Raw genomic sequence first — 17,260 nt, 5'->3', positions numbered from 1 at the left:
TGATAACTGTTAAAACTGGGTGATGGTACATGGGGGTTTAGTAACTATTCCATCTACTTTTGTATAAGTTTGAAAATTTTAATAATAAAGGATAATAATAATCACACAGGAGCACTAGTTAAAAACACAGAAATTAGGGTTTAATAGATTCCTAGATATCTCCTGTAAATTCTGATTTAGTGCTTTGAGGTAAGGTTTCAGGAATCTTGTTTTTATAGCTACAGTGTTATAAACGTTGTCTACCTCTCTGAACCTTTTTCCTAACCTGTAAAATTGAGACATCGTATCTACCCTACAAATCTAATGTAAAAGAAATAAGATGTATAAAACATGTAGTTCAGTTCCTGGCTCATAATCTGAAGTCTAATGCATGTTTAAAATAGCAGAAGTCTGATCCCTGCAGAAAAGACTCATGCTTTGATAAATAACTAGTGACCATTTATCCCTGAAGATGAATTTAGACAACCACAGCCAAGAATGAAAAAGAATAAAAGAAGTGAAAGAATTTGATTAAGAGTAGTAGTGACACATCCTCTCTTTTTCATGGTCTGCTAAGTGATTTGACCCTTTCTCGGAATGAACCGCAATGCTATTTAATTTAAAGAGCTCAGAGGTAACAAATTGCCAACAACTAGGGTATTTCATGGATGGTCTCACTAGACTGGTGACTAAGCTAATTTTGAACAGCTGGAAGGGCTTATCCCGCTCACACAAATCATGTATAGTTCAGGCATTGTGGAGAAAATCACTCTGAAAAGTAAACAAAACACACCTCTTCTAAGCAAAGTGTAATTTAGGATTATTGAAAAAGGAATTCTTAGACTTCTAGTAGATATATTTTTGTTTTAAGCCACATAAATATTTGTTTATAGTAATTGCTTATGAATAACTAAATAGATTTAACACTACAATTGCACTTCATTTTCTTTAGAATTTTGAAATGATTTTGTTTTCAGTTGAATGAATCATACCATTCTGAGTTATATCTGTCCCTTGCTTCAACCTCCACCCCCGCCCCCATCCACAGTTTAGTCCTCGTGGGATCCTTCTTTTACTCTTCTTCACACTGTCAGAGAAAACTGTTCCAATAAGGTAAAATCTAGACAGCAGAAGGTTAAATAAGCACAAGAATGCTGGAAATAACGCTACTTAATAAATTAAGCTACTTTATGTAGCTTAAAATTGGAGGTAGCATTGACCATAGTAATAGGTCTGACACCATTCATTCATTTGTTCATTCATTCAATAAATACTTAGTGAGCTCTTGGGAATTCTCAGATGAATTAGACACTGTATTTCCAAGGGATCCCTTTTAAGACCAATACAAATAAGGTAAGGTTGAAAATAACACAGGTGGGCATGGGTGGCTGCTGGTGGTGGTGAAGCCAGCACAAAGTTATCACTCATCAGGATAGGCCTACCTGAGGACGAAGTCTTTTACTTGGGCTTGCAGGAGTCACCGGGGTTGACAGGAGTGGGCCGGGGGAGCTGTCCTAGCCTAGCTGAGCCGTCCCAACTACCCATAGTATGCATTGGCTACAGACATGGCTTAGGTTAGAGCAATATTTTGTAGCTATGGAGAATAGCAAGACTTATATTAGCATGACTGATGTAGAACTGAGTCCACTGGCAACATGTATTAAACAGCTGCTCAAATTTGCCACAGTGTGCAACTTGAATGAGATGCCAATTTAGTTTTTAATCCTGTTGTAAATTGACCATTGCTTAGCTCATTCCTGACAGACCTCTTTGAAAAGCAGAATTCAAGGTTTAGATTTTTTTCTAGTTTATCTGAAGAGTATAGGAATATTGTGAAGAAATTTTGGGTAGAGAATCTGAAGGAAAAGATAGATCAGACACAGACAGTATCTTAAAACTCATATCTTGGATTGGTTTTTCCAAACAGTAAAATATTGCCTGTATCCTTAAATGCAGAGAAGCGAAAAGTGGTAGTTAAAGCTGACTTCAAAAATAATTAAATTATTTTAAATAATATATATGGGTGTTTACTGATACTAGTTTCTGGCTATTTAGAAATTATAACTGTTTTTAATCTGTAATGAAACTATTGCCACATTCAATATATACTTCACAAGACATTAGTAAAGAACTAAGCTTTTAATGTCTGAATATGAAATATGTAATGAGCATTAGAAAAGCAATTATTAGGTACATATCTACCATAAAATGTTCAAACTGGATGTAGTAGCAAAGAAAAGACCTTTCTAATTACCCTCAGTTCAGCATCAGAGACCCACAGGCCCTGTGATAGCAATGTCTGTCTCCTTCTCACTTTTACTAAAAAGTAAACTGTGGTTCCAATGGAGGTGTTGGGGACACATCCAGATCCCAGGGAGCCGCCTTAAGAAGAAATCTCAGCCAGTGGCTGCATCTTCCCAGACACTTCCACATAAGAGATCAAAATGAAAGGAATTGATAGCTGGCCAACAGCAAACTCTCATTCACTTTGACAGCTGTAACTCAATTCCTCATAAGTGTGATCAAGATAGACTGCGAGGCTACAACCCTTGCACTGTGAGTATTGATCATCCGTCTTTCCCAGTGGCTTCTGGCAGTCCCTCTCCCATTGTATTGTGAGACAGCTGAACCACTTGGGAGATTACTTCTGATTAAGTCAAGTGAATTAATACATCCATCATCTTACATATTTTTTGTGTGTGGTGAGAACATTTAGGATCTACTCTTATAGCAATTTTCAAGTATGCAATACATTATTATTAACTATAATCACCATACTATACCATAGATCTCCAAAACTTATTCATTCTGTTACACTGTCACTTTGTACCCTTTGGCCAACATCTCCCCATTCCTGCTCCCACCCTGCCTCAGCCCCTGGCAACAACCATTCTACTCTGTCCCTGTGAATTCAACATTTTTAGATTCCACATGCAATGAGATCAGGCAGTATTTGTCTTTCTATGCCCAACCTCTTTCACTTAGCATAATGGCCTCCAGGTTTATCCATGTTGTTGCAAATGATAGGATTTCCTTCTTTTTAAAGGCTGAATAGTATTCCATTATTATTATAGTACATTTTAAAATCCATTCATCCATTGTTGAACTAGATTGATTTTATATCTTGGCTATTGTGAATAATGCTGCAATGAACATGGAAGTGCAGGTATCTCTTGACATAATGGTATCATTTCCAGAAGTGGGAATACTGGATCATATGGTAGTTCTATTTTTAAATTTTTGAGGAACCTCCACACCATTTTCCATAACGGCTGTGCTAATTTATATACCCACCAACAATCTACCAGGGTTCCCTTTTTACCACATCCTCACCAACACTTATCTTTTGTCTTTTTTATAATAGCCATTCTAACAGGTGGTTTTAATTCCATTTCCTTGGCAATTAGTGTATTGAGCATTTCTTTCATACCCTGTTGGTCATTTATATGTTCTCTTTGGAGAAATGCCTATGTAGATCCTTGGCTCGTTTGAAATCTGTTATTTGTTTTATTGTTATTGAGTTGTTTGAGTTCCTTAGAACATTTTAGAGTTTTCAACTAATGCCTTCAACTCGTTTTGATTTATCAAATTGCATCACTGTTAACATTTTTGTGCCTGGAGCCACCCCAGAAATTATTCCTGGTTCCTGGCACTTAGAGTGATTAAGTAGACAGAATGAAAGGAACAAGAATATGGACATATTAGGATTCTAGAAGATGACAGTTTTCATTTAGCTAGATGCCCTTCTAAGACTACAGTGGACCTTCTGTGTTCTGCCTGTCCAGCAATCCCTCCAGCTCAGTGCTGGTTCATAAGTTTCATTGTCTCAAGTGCCATAAGAAGTTTACACTAAACACTTCCACACAGAAAGATATAGAGTGCCTTCTTCGTGCCATCTTTCCTACTCTCATCTTTAAGTGTTAAATACATTTTCACAGGGATTTAGTTTAGGGACACTGTTTTACTCTCACCCTATAACCCCACATAAAATTTAGAAGAGTGTTTTTGTTCTTTAGAAAGTGCAAAATTAATATTTATTAAATGAGGTAGGTAAATCAGATTTTATAGGTTAGGGCAGATTGGACATTTACATATATATATGTAAATTTTCCTATTTTCTTCAGGCCTACCAATTTCATCCTATTCTCTCTTTAAAATAATCTGAATGATTATTGTTCTCTCAGAGATATCCTCTTTAGACTTATCTCTTTCTTTCTTACACCCCAATGATATATTCTGATTTAAATAGCCTAAGAAATTAGCCCCTGAGAAATGTCAGCAAAAGGAGAAACAAAGCTAGCCGAACATATGAGTTATTCCCTAAATCTAGGAAATTTCTGAAAGAACAGATGAAACGTTGTAGCCAGTGTCAAAACAAACAATGAAGCAGAAAAAGCTACTGTGTTTTCATCCTGACCAGATGAGCACTCTTGGTGTGGCCAGTGAGTCTTCCTTTTTCCATTTGTGTGTGCAATAGAAACCAGTTTATGATTTTACAGGTAACCTAATGCCAAGATTGCAAAATGGAGCATAGTCTGCAAAAATATATAATTGTGTAAGTGTCTACGTGTGCATGTGTGTGAGATTAATATGGCACATTAGGTTTCCATTTTAGTGCTTTTTAGCTTTGTCCTGTCCTTTCCCAGAAAAGCTGGTCAAGCTTTTTTGAATCACTTCTACACTGTTATGATTCTGATGATCAAAAAAGATACCCACAGGTTTTCTAAAGCACAGCATTTCACAACCTTATGTCAGTCTGAAACAAAATGAAACAAAACACAGCAAAATAAAACAAAACGGTTACATTAGAAAAGATTAAATGGAATGCTTAAAGAAATTTAGAAACATTTAAAACTGGAACATTTTAAGAATTAAAAATAAATTAAAATTGCTTTACCAAACAAATCTTGATTCTTTTCTTGCTATTTGAATAGGAATGGGGGGAAGTTTCACTCATGTAAATAAAATGTAAAATTATGTTTTGTTAATGACTTTCTGCAGGGTGTGGAACATTTAAAGTTGGCTGTGTATAAAGCCATCTTGTTGGCATCTGCTCTTAGGGATCCCTCTGTCTTAAATCTCCAGAGAGGCAGAATGACATCATGGTTAAATGTGTGAATCTTGGCATCAGGATGTTCCAGGTCCAATGCTAGCTTTGCTACTTATTGGCTATTTGAATTTAGGAAAGATAGTTGAGCTTGCTTAGAGTCGGTTTCCTCATCTACAAAATGAGGTCAATAATAGTAACACCTCAGAGAGGTTATGAGAATCAAATAAAACCATACATATGAAGTAGGTAGCTCAATAGCTAGTTGTCAGTGCTCATAATATCATCAACAAATAGCTGTTGCTGCTGTTATTATCTGATCTCAGGCATGAGGTATGAATTTAAATATATTGCATTTTCCAGGGAGAGTTTCTAATTGTTCTATAATGAATTTTAATTGTTAAACATAAATCAAGGACTTTTTTTTTTTGGTTTTGAATGTGGATGGAGGCAGGGTGCTTTCTAGTACTCCTGCATTCTCTACATGGGTAAACCCAATCTGTCCTTCTGTATCACTTTATTTTTCCAAGGACATTGTTGGTGGCAGGAATAAATCTGAGTGACATGCCAAAATGGTAAGTGAAATTTTCTCCTCTCTCATCACTACTATAATGACATGGTTTACATCCCTCTTCACCTAATTTATTCATCCACCCACCTCTTCATCCATCCAGTTATCCATCTATCCTCTACTAAGTGCCAGGCATTGGAGTAATGACATGAATAAGGTACAATCTCTGTTTCCAAGGACCTCAAAGATAGTCAGGGTTGGGGTGAAAGGAGGTTGGTGGTAGTTGGGGTCTCAGACACTTAAAGAGATAATTATTCTGCAAAGAACTTAGTAAAACGATTGTGATATACACAGGATTATATGGAAAAAGGGACATCAAGGACTTCCCACAAAAGTTTCTTTGCATTGGATTTTAAAATTCACAATCTCTGTATAAAGAACTTTCTCCCTGGCAATTTCTTCATACCAACATGCAAATGGATTTAAATATTCTACAAATTAGATTAAGGTCCTTAGTTGTTGACAGGAATACACAGAGCTATTTAGCTTTTCCCTGTAAATTTAACCTCCTTAGTTATCTTTAAAACATAACATATATGTGTATCACCACTAATGTTCTGAAAATGGACTAATGTCTAATCATGGCTTGAGAGCTGCAGAATGTTTAATGTGAACCAGACTTTGAAAAGACCCAGCTGAAGTGCAATTAACTCAGTGAGGTAAATCTTTGGAGCCTCATTTTCTGTGTGTGTTGGTGGGGTATATACTCACAGAGTGGGAAGAACACTTGTATTTCCATTTATTTCATTATTTCATTTATTTGGACATTGGTTAGTTAATTGGTCTTTTATTAATCCATCCCTTGTAACACATAGACTTACAGTCATGTTCTAATCCTCCTTTTAAAGCTGCTTCTTTGGAAGCTTTTTTTTTTGATGGAGTTTTGCTCTTGTTGCCCAGGCTGGAGTGCTATGGCACAATCTCGGCTCACTGCAACCTCTGCCTCCTGGGTTCAAGTGATTCTCCTGCCTCAGCCTCCCGAGTAGCTGGGACTACAGGCGCCTGCCACCACGCCTGGCTAATTTTTTGTATCTTTAGTAGAGGTGGGTTTTCGCCATGTTGGTCAGGCTGGTCTTGAACTCCTGACTTCAGGTGATCCACCATCCCTGGCCTCCTGAATTGGAAGCTTTATGTGTCATAAATTACCTCAAGTAAATTTCTTCTGTTAGATGGTAAGCACCATTTAGAGTATGGGTTATTGTCATTGTTTTTGTTACCTTTATTATTATAATCAAGGACTTGAACATGTCAGAAGAGAAAAGAAATCCTGTGATCCTAACAAGACCCTGCTCATTTGTACCTAATTCCAAAATCTTTAAATTCACACTGATTTGGGCACATTTATTAAAGGAACAGTTATTATAGAAATCTTACTCTACCCTCATTCTATCTCCCCAGTGTTTTTCTGGTATTTACTTTAAAGACAGTATCAAATTACCAGAAATGTAAAGCCCACATCCCTAATGTGTATGTGAAACCAAACTACATTTGATTGTAGTTGAAGGAAATTAATCCAGCAAACAGTCTGGATTTCAGTTTGCTGTTTACAATATTTGTATTTCTGCATCTTCAATTCTTTCAGAAACTGATTTATCTTCAATAGGTTATGTACCATCCATGATTTACTTCTCTTATAACATAAAAAAAGAAATACAATGAGGAATAAAGACAAAGGCCGGGCGCAGTGGCTCACGCCTGTAATCCCAGCACTTTGGGAGGCCAGGGCGGGTGGATCACCTGAGGTCAGGAGTTCAAGACCAGCCTGGCCAATATGGTAAAACCCTGTCTCTACTAAAAATACAAAAATTAACCAGGAGTGTGCCCATAATCCCGGCTACTGGGGAAGCTGAGGCAGGAGAAATCACTTGAACCCGGGAGGTGGAGGTTGCAGTGAGGTGAGATTGTGCCACTGCACTCCAGCCTGGGCAACAGAGTGAGACCCCATCTCAAACAAACAAACAAACAAAAACATTAAGAGTTGGAAGAATAATAAGAAAAAAAGTCAGTAAGGAGTGGAGAGACAATACAGATGGAGCAGGCAATGAATTAATGTGGCTTTCAGATCCTTTACTTCAGTTTTTTGGTACATTTGGCCTGATGTAGAATGTCCTACGATGTAGGATATAATTTTGAACATGGCAAGGGACCTAGTATGTGATATCCATCATCTGTCATCCTTGTCTTTCCTGCAGTTCAGGATGCCACTTATCCCATTTCCTGTTTTCATACAGTGTAGGGCTGAAGCAAGATCCAAACAACACTGTGATACAAAAGAGAAACAGAGGGCAGCCTGCTCATCTTGGAGGGCACGGAAAGACTAGCGAGACACACACAAAAAAAGCAGGCCAGGCGCGGTGGCTCACGCCTGTCATCCCAGCATTTTGGTAGACTCTTGTGGGCGGATCACCTGAGGTCAGGAGTTTGAGACCAGCCTGGCCAACATAGAGAAACCCTGTCTCTACTAAAAGTACAAAAATTAGCCAGGTATGATGGTGGGCGCCTGTAATCCCAGCTATTCGGGAGGCCGAGGCAGGAGAATCGCTTGAACCCGGGAGGCGGAGGTTGCAGTGAGCCAAGATCGCACCATTGCACTCCAGCCTAGGTGACAAGAGTAAGACTCTGGCTCAAAAAAAAAAAAAAAAAAAAAAAAAGAAAAAAGCAGATCTTTTTTCATGTGACTCTTATGCCTGTTACAAGTAATGCTGGCAAATCCTTCCTGATCTTTTCACCACCAGAAAGACAGGATAGAAAGGCAGAGAGGGATGGAGGGAGAGCAAGAGGGTTAACATAGCTTGTTCATTTATTTACTCACCAAACTAATATTTATTGTTTGTCATGTGACAGGCACCAAGGTTGGTTCTGGGAATTTGAAGATGAATGAGTTACCACCCTTGCCTTCAAGGTGTTTCAGTCTAGCAGGGAGAACGATGTTTAAACCAGTAATTAAGCTTGATACAGCAATTATTTTAATGCTGAGCCACAGCTCTGAACAGAAGGGGCGCAGATGTGGAGACACAAGCTCATCCTTTTATTGAGTTCCCTAATAAAGAGCAAGATGCTTAACTCTGTTGATCTCTAGCTTCTTCATTAAAATGGGTGGGAGAGCATCTTCTCACTTGCAGACAGTGCATGTAAAGTGCCCAGAAGAGTGCTTGACACATAGTGGGCATTCAGCAAATGGTAGAGTGTGGATGTACTACAGGGGCTATGAAGGACTCAAGGGCAGTAGGACCATAGGAGGGGTCCTGAAGTCACACGTCAGATATGCAAGAAAGAACTTCTTGCACACCGCAAGAACACTAGGTACCAGGATTAGCAAGGAGTTGCCACTGATGAGTTGGTCCCTATTTCCCAACTTGCCTTCACTAGGTGGAACATTTCCTTTAAGGTTGCAAAGGGAGGTCAGTGCGATAGCTCACACCTGTAATCCCTGCACTTTCAGAGACCAAGGTGGGCGGATCACTTGAGTTCAGGAGTTCGAGACCAGCCTGGCCAACATGGTGAAACCCCCATCTCTACTAAAAATACAAAAATTAGCCGGGTGTGATGGTGCATGCCTGTAGTCCCAGCTACTCGGGAGGCTGAGGCAGGAGAATCGCTTGAACCCAGCAGGTGGAGGTTGCAGTGAGCGGAGATCGTGCCACTGCACTCCAGCCTGGGTGACAGGGCCCTGTTCCCTGCACTGGACCCCACTCCCTCTCCCTTGTCCTCCCCAGCCTCTGCCTCCTGCTCTCACTTACTGCTCTGATGACCAGCCAGGGCAGGCCTGGAGGCCGAGGTCAGTGGTTTGTTGGGACAAGGGCTGGTTCCCAAAAAGCCCCACAAAAATTAACCAGGTGTGGTGGTTTGTGCCTGTAGTCCCAGCTACTCAGGAGGCTGAGGCCGGAGAATAGCTTGAACCCGGGAGGCGGATGTTGAAGTGAGTCGAGATCTGCTGCACTCCAGCCTGGCTGACAGAGTGAGACTCTGTCTCAAAAAAAAAAAAAAAAAAATTGTAAAGGGAAAAGACTGTAATTTTTTCCTTTAGTAAGGATAACTCAGGTGAGAAGCCCATTGCATTTTTATTGCACCAATTTCTGACACTTAAATGTCTTTCACGAGTCACCTATTGGCACTTAGCTCCTTGTTTACGTGAAGAATCCCGTGTCTCCACTAAACTCCTTCCCTTCTAGGCCTTCCATATATTTTCCTGTTGCCTTTCTATCAACTCTGTGGTTTACTATATTTGAGAAGCATTATGTTTTGAAGTCATATATTATATACAGAGAAGTGAAATAGAATATTTGGTCGTTGTTGCCACTTGTTAATGAAAAGTGGCTACTATTGGGTAATATTTATTGAGCTCTAATTATCAGGCACCACACATTCTATGCATTGTATCAGTGCTTCTTGGCTTTTGATGGAAATACATGGGATATGGAGATCTTAAAATTCAGGTTCTGGTTCATTCAGTATGAGAGTAGAGGCCAAACGTCTACAGTGCTGACAAGTTCAAGGGTGATGCTGCTGTCCACAGGCTGCATTTTGAATAGCAAGACATTGTACCATTTGATCCTGACAACAACCCTATTAGTTAGAAATTACTTCTTATGGCCAGGCACGGCGGCTAACGCCTGTAATCCTAGCATTTTGGGAGGCCGAGGCGGGCGGATCACGAGGTCAGAAGATCTAGACCATTCTGGCTAACACGGTGAAACCCTGTCTGTACTAAAAATACAAAAAAAATTAGCCGGGCGTGGCGGCCGGCGCCTGTAGTCCTAGCTACTTGGGAGGCTGAGGTAGGAGAATGGCGTGAACCCGGGAAGTGGAGCTTGCAGTGAGCTGAGATCGCGCCACTGCACTCCAGCCTGAGCGACAGAGCGAGACTCCGTCCACCCCCCACAAAAAAAAAAAAAAATTTCTTATTTCGTATCTATGGAAACTGAACTGTAGAGAATTTATCCAAGGTCATGTTGCTAGAAAGCAGTACAGCTCGGGCTCTAAATCCAGATTTGCGTCCTGGGATAGTGTATATAATGTGGATTTTGGAAATATTCTCCAACATCCAAAGGTGATCTGATGCTACCTGAAAAAAATTCATAGTTTTAGTTTAAATTTTGACCCGTTTAATGAAATTTCTTTTTAATTTCTCTTTATGAAAGACTGTGTTAAATGGTGATTCAAATGTGTTGGATTTTGCTTCTAAAGGTATGTAGAGATTAGTATGATTTATTTGCCAAAATTATGGCCTAGAAAATGTCGTGCTATTGATGGAATCCGCATTGAACACAAGAGGAAATTGCTAGGGAAGGATGCGTGTGAGGAAAGGAAATCCTCAGGCTGATTTATTGTTCAGCGCTGAGTGTAAACAGTGTGCTATCCTTGTCACAGCCAAACGAAAAAGGACGCAATCACTATCCTGAACAGATCATTCTTTTAAAAATAATATTTTGGCCTGCTTATAAAGCATGGTTCGTAATAAAAAATTTGGGCTACAGAAATATAATACAATTAAATTATCCAAACTCCCATCTTTTTGTTTGTTTGTTTGTTTGTTTTTTGAGACAGAGTCTGGCTCTGTCGTCCAGGCTGGAGTGCAGTGGCTGGATCTCAGCTCACCGCAACCTCCGCCTCATGGGTTCAAGCGATTCTCCTACCTCAGCCTCCCGAGCAGCTGGGACTACAGGTGCGTGCCACCACGCCCGGCCAATTTTTTGTATTTTTAGTAGAGACGGGTTTTCACCGTGTTAGCCAGGATGGTCTCGATCTCCTGACCTCGTGATCCGCCCGCCTCGGCCTCCCAAAGTGCTGGGATTACAGGCGTGAGCCACCGCGCCCGGCCTATTTTCTAATTTTAAGTGAATGCATCTCAAAAGGGTGACGAAGGACCACATTCCTATCGAACAGCAATAATTCACTGTGGCAATATCTTGCCACAAATAATTTAAACATTAATTGTGGTTTTGAGGGGCAGTGTGCAGTGGGAGTAAAAGGGGTAGGGTTTAGAGTCTCCAAAAGATTTACTTAAGAAACACGAATGCACTGCTTGTGCACTGCGCAAAAGTTCTGGGGTCAAGTTCCAACTTTCACTAAGGATCCCAGAACAGCCCGGCAGGAGCTGCCCAGGGCTAACGCGCTTTGCTCTCAAACCCGGCCGCCAGTCGCCGACGCATGCGCAGTCTAGCACCGTGGCACAGGCCTTTCTCAAGCAGGTTTTTGTGGGGTCAGCAAAAGGGCCAGAACAGCAACGGCAAACAGTTCCGAGCCTGACAGTGCAGGGGCAAACCAGCTCCAAGTGAAAATCACCTCGCGAGGAAATAGGCTCAGGGATCGGGGCGGTTTCCGCAGGCGTCTCCACACACGCACTCTCACTCACTTTGAGGGTGCCAAAACACCACTAGGGGCAACTAGGAGGAATAGGCTGAGGAATCAGCTATAGAGAATGGAGGGGATAGAGCTGCAAGGGGCGAGGGGGCGACGATCTCTAAAACTTTCAGCGCCGTGCTCTACTGATGCTCTAGGCACTTTTTTCATTGCTCTGGGGAGTCTGGGTGCCCCAATTAATCCGTCGCTCCTTTGAGCATTTGTTGTTTAGGGGGTCCTGGGGGACCCCATCGTATTACAGTATTCAGCCACACTCCCCGCAAAGCCGGGAAGCCGCCCCGAGAGAAGACCCCAGGACGCCGGGGGCTGCGTGAGCCCCGCAAGGCTGCAGGCGGGGGCGCGGGATCCCCTTTCTGGCCGCCGCCCCCCTCCGCCGGCCCCTCCCCCGCGCCCCGCCCTCGGCCACAGACCCCAGCCCCGGCCGCCGGCGCGCTCCCACCCGCGCGTCTGGGGACTTGCGGACCGCAGCGAGACCGGCCGGCGTGCTGGGCATGCTCAGTGGCGGGCCGGGCGCTGGAGTCGGAAGCCTGTGCGCGGCAGCCGCCGCCGAGCCGGCCGGGGCGCACGGAGAGCGCGCGGGACTCGCTGCAGCGGCGGCCGGGTCGCGGCGCACCCGGGCCGGGACCGGAGCCGAGCCTAGCGCGGCGCCCGCGACCCGTCAGCCGCGGCTCCTGCTCCCTCGATCCCGCGCGGGGAAAGGGCCGGCGGCTGTTGGCGTCGGCGGGGCGCGGAGGAACCGCGGCGGCGGCGGCGGCGGCCGCATCCTTGCCGCCCGCCCCGGCCCAGCCGCGTCCCGGAGCCGTCGGGCATGGAGCCGTGGAAGCAGTGCGCGCAGTGGCTCATCCATTGCAAGGTGCTGCCCACCAACCACCGGGTGACCTGGGACTCGGCTCAGGTGTTCGACCTTGCGCAGACCCTCCGCGATGGAGTCCTGCTCTGCCAGCTGCTTAACAACCTCCGGGCGCACTCCATCAACCTGAAGGAGATCAACCTGAGGCCGCAGATGTCCCAGGTGAGGAGGCCGGCACGGGCGCCCCGCCTCCAGCCGGCAGCTCCCATTAATCATGCGGCTAATTTCTTTGTGTAAATGCAAACGTCTAGGTGCGCTGAGCTTGCCCTGCTTCCCAGCCTTCTGCTTTGGGACCACTTCGGCACCACTTTGGCGTTTCCTACCTTGGCTTGAAATGGTTTAGCTCCTCAAGCTGAATGCGAAAGCTTTGCGTCCGGAGATGGTGTGAGGATTTCGTAAAGGCTTTCTGTGAGGCGGGAAAGAAATAAGTTGTCTTAGGGTGCCCTTCACCTACTCTGCGTGTGTGTGGCGCGACAAAGGGAATTTGATCAAGCTCTTCTATAATAACGAAGGGGAGGGACGAAACGAGGTGATGGGGTAATTTGCCTTTAGTCTCTTCTTTTGCTTTGCGTCTTGTACTCATGTTTTCCTAAAAGAGGAACCATGACATACATGAGGACTCGAGGAAGTGAAGGGCGTTTGGTCCCGTTATCTGTCCAGGAGTGACATTGGTCAAAGGGAAGAACAGGGAGCAGAACCCGGAGGCCGCCCCCAGGGCCCCTGAGCTGGTGGCCAGCCGGCAAGCTCCCGTTTACAGCTCTTCCTAAGCCATGTGAGAAGGAGCGAGTCCAGCCTCTCTCAGCAGCGACAGGAAATGAGAAGTTTCACTAGAGATTCCGCTTTCCTTCCTGCAGTGCCCTGCTCAGGTGCTGTGGTGCCGGTCGGCTCCTGGGGCTGGAGCTGCCTCTTTGAGGGTTAAGCCAGACACCTCTGGAAGGTTGGGTGCACCCTAGAGTCAGCTCAAAAGTCACAGTTCAGTGGAAGAGTAGTTTATTTGTCCTGTCGGAAAATTTTTGTACAGAAGGATGTTAAACTCGGTTCAGAGCCTCTTTCTCTTTCAGAATGTTAAAACAAAACAAAAAACCAAACTGCTTTCAACTTAAAAGGGAGAGGACAGAGCCCTCTCCCTGACACATTTCAGCACTAATCCTCTATGACGCAGAGCCTCAGCTACTTAGCAACCAGAGCAGCGCCTTTTAAGAAGGAACGGACTTTATATGATTTAATAAGTATGTATTTAAAGTTAGAGCACACACAGTCATCTGTGATTCTTGGTGTCAGTGTTTCATCAGGGTCCCCTGCACTTCAGATTCTGCATTCCTTGCCTGTTTGCCTTCAACCTGCTGGTGGGCAGTCCCTAAGAAAGAACAGGCATGGAAGTGGGGAGAGCCATACGTATTTAAAAGTGAGGTAAATTATTTTATACCCCCATAAACATGCATGGTGATTGCTACCTCTCGGTACCCCTTCAGAGTTGTCTCAACTCTGGAAATTCCTTTGAGGGGTTTGGCAGACTTTTCTATTATGGTGGGAGCTGCAGTTAGCTACTCTCACACATCCCCATTTTCCACTTTGCCTGTAGCCTCAGGAGGCAGCGTGGGTCAGGATGCCTTGGCCCACCAGTAGGGAGTACAGTACTGTGCACATTTCCTGGAACTTGTTTCCTGGAACTCTCAGCAGTTGCTCTCAATAATCACGTTTTCTGGACAGCTGAAGACCTTTTTAAACCTCGAAGCCTTTATTTGAATGCTAACAATGGATGAGAATCGTTTTGAATGTGTTTCACTCTTCTCCTCTTATGTTAGATGTAATTTAATCTTTCTGATGACCAAAGATTGTCATTATAAGCATCATTAATGAAAATTGAGCACATACAATGCTCTAAGAGTTCTGTTCCCTAGTGGGGGTAGCAAAATGAGCACACCAGGATACTTGCCCTAAAGGAATTATTACACTATGCTATCAGATGGTAAATCACTGGGTTATAATAAGGTAAGTAGGACAGCTAATGACCTTCTTTGTGCCGTTGCACTTTTGAGTTCTTAAGTCTGTTCAACCTTGAGGTTTCTGGTTCCAAATTAAGTACAGTTTCTCCTGTAATGTCCTATGAGAGGGTGCTTCCCTCAAATGTGAATCCTAGAAGGCTAGTACCTGAGCCTGGTGATGTCTGTTTTTGCTTTCCTCATGGTTCTTGGCCTCATTGCAGAGAGGCAAGGCTGCTGAACAAGTGGATGCTAGGCCGATGAGTTTGTATCATGCAGGTTGTCATTAAATCCTTTAATGAGACTTATGAAATGATTTTATGAAACAACTTGACGTATTTAACATGCTTATAGTGCCTAGCACATGTACTTAATAAATGTTTACTATTAGCAAAATTATGAAAAACATTTTTTCTGCTATTGTTATATTAAGAGTAATAGGTTCCAATAGAAATTTTAAAACAATTGTAGAGGCCTACCGGTTCCTTTGGGCTGATAACCCTAGACATTTTGCCGCTAACTACTCATCTCTTTCTTGGGAAAGGTTCTAGCTGTAGTGAATACACTATTAACCTGGTACAACCCTGTCATGTCCCAGCAGAATGTATTCCCCTGGAGTTAGAGATGTCATTACTAGTACTTGTGGCGTTTTGGTATGTCTGAGAGTCGTTCTGTCTACTTAGATTCTGTTGAAGATATTAATTTGAAATAGACTATTTTTTATAGCACATGATCTCCTAACCTGAGAAATAACTGGAAGCTGTCACTTCTGACTTTTGTGACATATTGAGACTGTAAAGAGCAGATGTTGACAAAAGAAATTTTAATTTATTGATGTTTTGTTTGTAGCCTGTTTAGCTTTCCTGAAAGAGGCTATAAAATGACCAGCCTTTTAAAATGAGTGTTTATTCCAGTGAGTGGGATGCCTTTCTATTCTCTGTTAGCCTTCTGCCTTGTTTGCATTTAAAAAAATAAATAACTGCAAATAATGACTGCTCAATTATAGGTTTGAATCTTGGAATCTTAATAAGTTAGTTGATTATCTTTCAAAATAAAAGCATGGATGGGATCCCAGTTTTCTTACTTATTGTTCTTTCTGGCTGTTGACATCAGTTTGTTTTTGATCTTGCCATCTTGGTAAGAGGATGATCTTCAGTTCAAAAATAAGTATATTTTTTCATGCTGATTTAGTGTTTGTTTTTATTTATGATAGGTTAAAGAGGTAAACATTAATCATATTTAGTTATACATTTAACATGTTCCTCTTATTATATAATACAGTTAAATAAAATGCAGTTGGCCAGTGAATATCTAAGAAATTTGGTGTCTGTATATGTTAGATTTTAGTGTCTATATTTGAGATTTATTTTTCATCTGAAACAGTATTCTAGCCAGGACACAAAGCATGTGAATGATTCTGGAAGAGAAGAGCCTACTGGTGATAGCTGTACTGGGTGGGCGGCACATGCTGGGGTTGGGGCTGGGGGTGTGCCTGTGGAAGGGCATGAGTTATTGGCTTGATGTCACTTTTAGTGGTTAAGAAGATCTTCATGAATGCCTATAACCACCCCTAGATCTATCATGAATGAGAGTACCTTAGTCTTAGTTTGAAACTTAAAATTTTGCTTTATACTATGCTTTATAGTAGGGGTAATACAGTCAATGAGTTTAGTGGCCACTATGGACAGTGTATGTAAACTTTGAATTGTTTAAATGAATAATTCAGACTTCAAGGATTCCTTCAATGAATATTTACTTGGTCCTACTATGTTCCAGGCGCTGTTTTAGACACTGTCTTGGACAAACTCAACAAAGTCCCTGCCCTAAAGGGGTTTGGATTTTAGTAGAGTTGAACCATAAATAAATGACTGTATAATTTATTTATATATTTATATTTTTACATACAATTTATTGTATATAATTATTTATATATTTATCTATAATGTGCTATGAACCCATTTGAAGCTGAGTTAGGAACTAGAGAGAAATGTAATACAATTTTATAGAAGGTAGTCAAGAAAGTCCTCTCCAAGGGAGTGACAATTAGGTGGGACCTGAAGCGAGTGAAGGAACACAGGAATGTCAATGTTTGGAAAAAAGAATATTCCTGGTGGAGGGAATACCAAGTGCAAAGCTCCTGAGGTCATTAAGTGGCAGGCATACTGGAGGAACAGCAGGGTCAGTGTGGTTGGAGGAGAGTGAGTGTGGGAAAGAGTGGGAAACGTGAAGTCAGAGAGAAAATGGAAGCTCGATTTTTAGGACTTGTGGGCCACTTTAAGGACTTTGGATTTCACTTTGAGTGAAATGAGAGGTCAACAGAGGGATGAGGAGAGGAGTGACATGGCCTGATTTACCTTTCTTTTCTTTTCTTTTTTTTTTTGAGACGGAGTCTTACTGTGTAGCCCAAGTTGGCGTGCAGTGGCCTGATCTCAGCTCACTGCAACCTCCGCCTCCCAGGCTCAAGAGTT

The 17,260-nt window shown here is 42.4% G+C and overlaps 1 protein-coding gene and 1 long non-coding RNA gene across 8 annotated transcripts in view, besides 4 other annotated features; one reads left to right on the top strand and one right to left on the bottom strand.

The window, feature by feature from the left end:
• Positions 1-13,195, bottom strand: part of VAV3-AS1 (VAV3 antisense RNA 1) — a 30,165-nt gene extending 16,970 nt beyond the window's left edge. The window contains exon 1 of the long non-coding RNA NR_046653.1: positions 13,134-13,195. This is a non-coding gene — a long non-coding RNA (VAV3 antisense RNA 1). The remainder of the gene's footprint in view (positions 1-13,133) is intronic.
• Positions 11,672-11,741: an enhancer, noted in NCBI's record as "active region_1422". NCBI's record gives its function as "activates an Ori minimal core promoter by ATAC-STARR-seq in GM12878 lymphoblastoid cells {active_cell/tissue: GM12878}" and the evidence as "EXISTENCE:reporter gene assay evidence [ECO:0000049][PMID:35858748]".
• Positions 11,672-11,971: a biological region, named in NCBI's record as "Sharpr-MPRA regulatory region 13935".
• Positions 11,677-11,971: an enhancer, noted in NCBI's record as "tiled region #13935; K562 Activating non-DNase unmatched - State 20:ReprD". NCBI's record gives its function as "activates a minimal TATA promoter and a strong SV40 promoter by Sharpr-MPRA in K562 cells {active_cell/tissue: K562}" and the evidence as "EXISTENCE:reporter gene assay evidence [ECO:0000049][PMID:27701403]".
• The window catches only part of VAV3 (vav guanine nucleotide exchange factor 3), a 394,020-nt gene continuing 389,217 nt past the window's right edge, over positions 12,458-17,260 (top strand). For 6 of the 7 annotated variants that reach the window (XR_007063680.1, XM_017000053.2, NM_006113.5 and 3 more), the window contains exon 1: positions 12,458-12,972. Coding sequence is in view for 5 of the 7 variants with exons in the window: in XM_017000053.2 (XP_016855542.1) it covers positions 12,769-12,972 (204 nt within the window). In the remaining 2 variants the exon portion in view is untranslated. Of the gene's footprint in view, positions 12,973-13,282; positions 14,221-17,260 lie in introns of those variants that run through there. The other variant, XM_024450319.2, reaches the window with a different exon arrangement.
• Positions 13,318-13,447: an enhancer, noted in NCBI's record as "active region_1421". NCBI's record gives its function as "activates an Ori minimal core promoter by ATAC-STARR-seq in GM12878 lymphoblastoid cells {active_cell/tissue: GM12878}" and the evidence as "EXISTENCE:reporter gene assay evidence [ECO:0000049][PMID:35858748]".

This window comes from Homo sapiens, chromosome 1, assembly GCF_000001405.40.
Source record: "Homo sapiens chromosome 1, GRCh38.p14 Primary Assembly".
NCBI lineage: Eukaryota > Metazoa > Chordata > Mammalia > Primates > Hominidae > Homo > Homo sapiens.
Note: the sequence above shows the minus strand (reverse complement) of the source record. Positions and strands in the feature narration are given on the sequence as shown.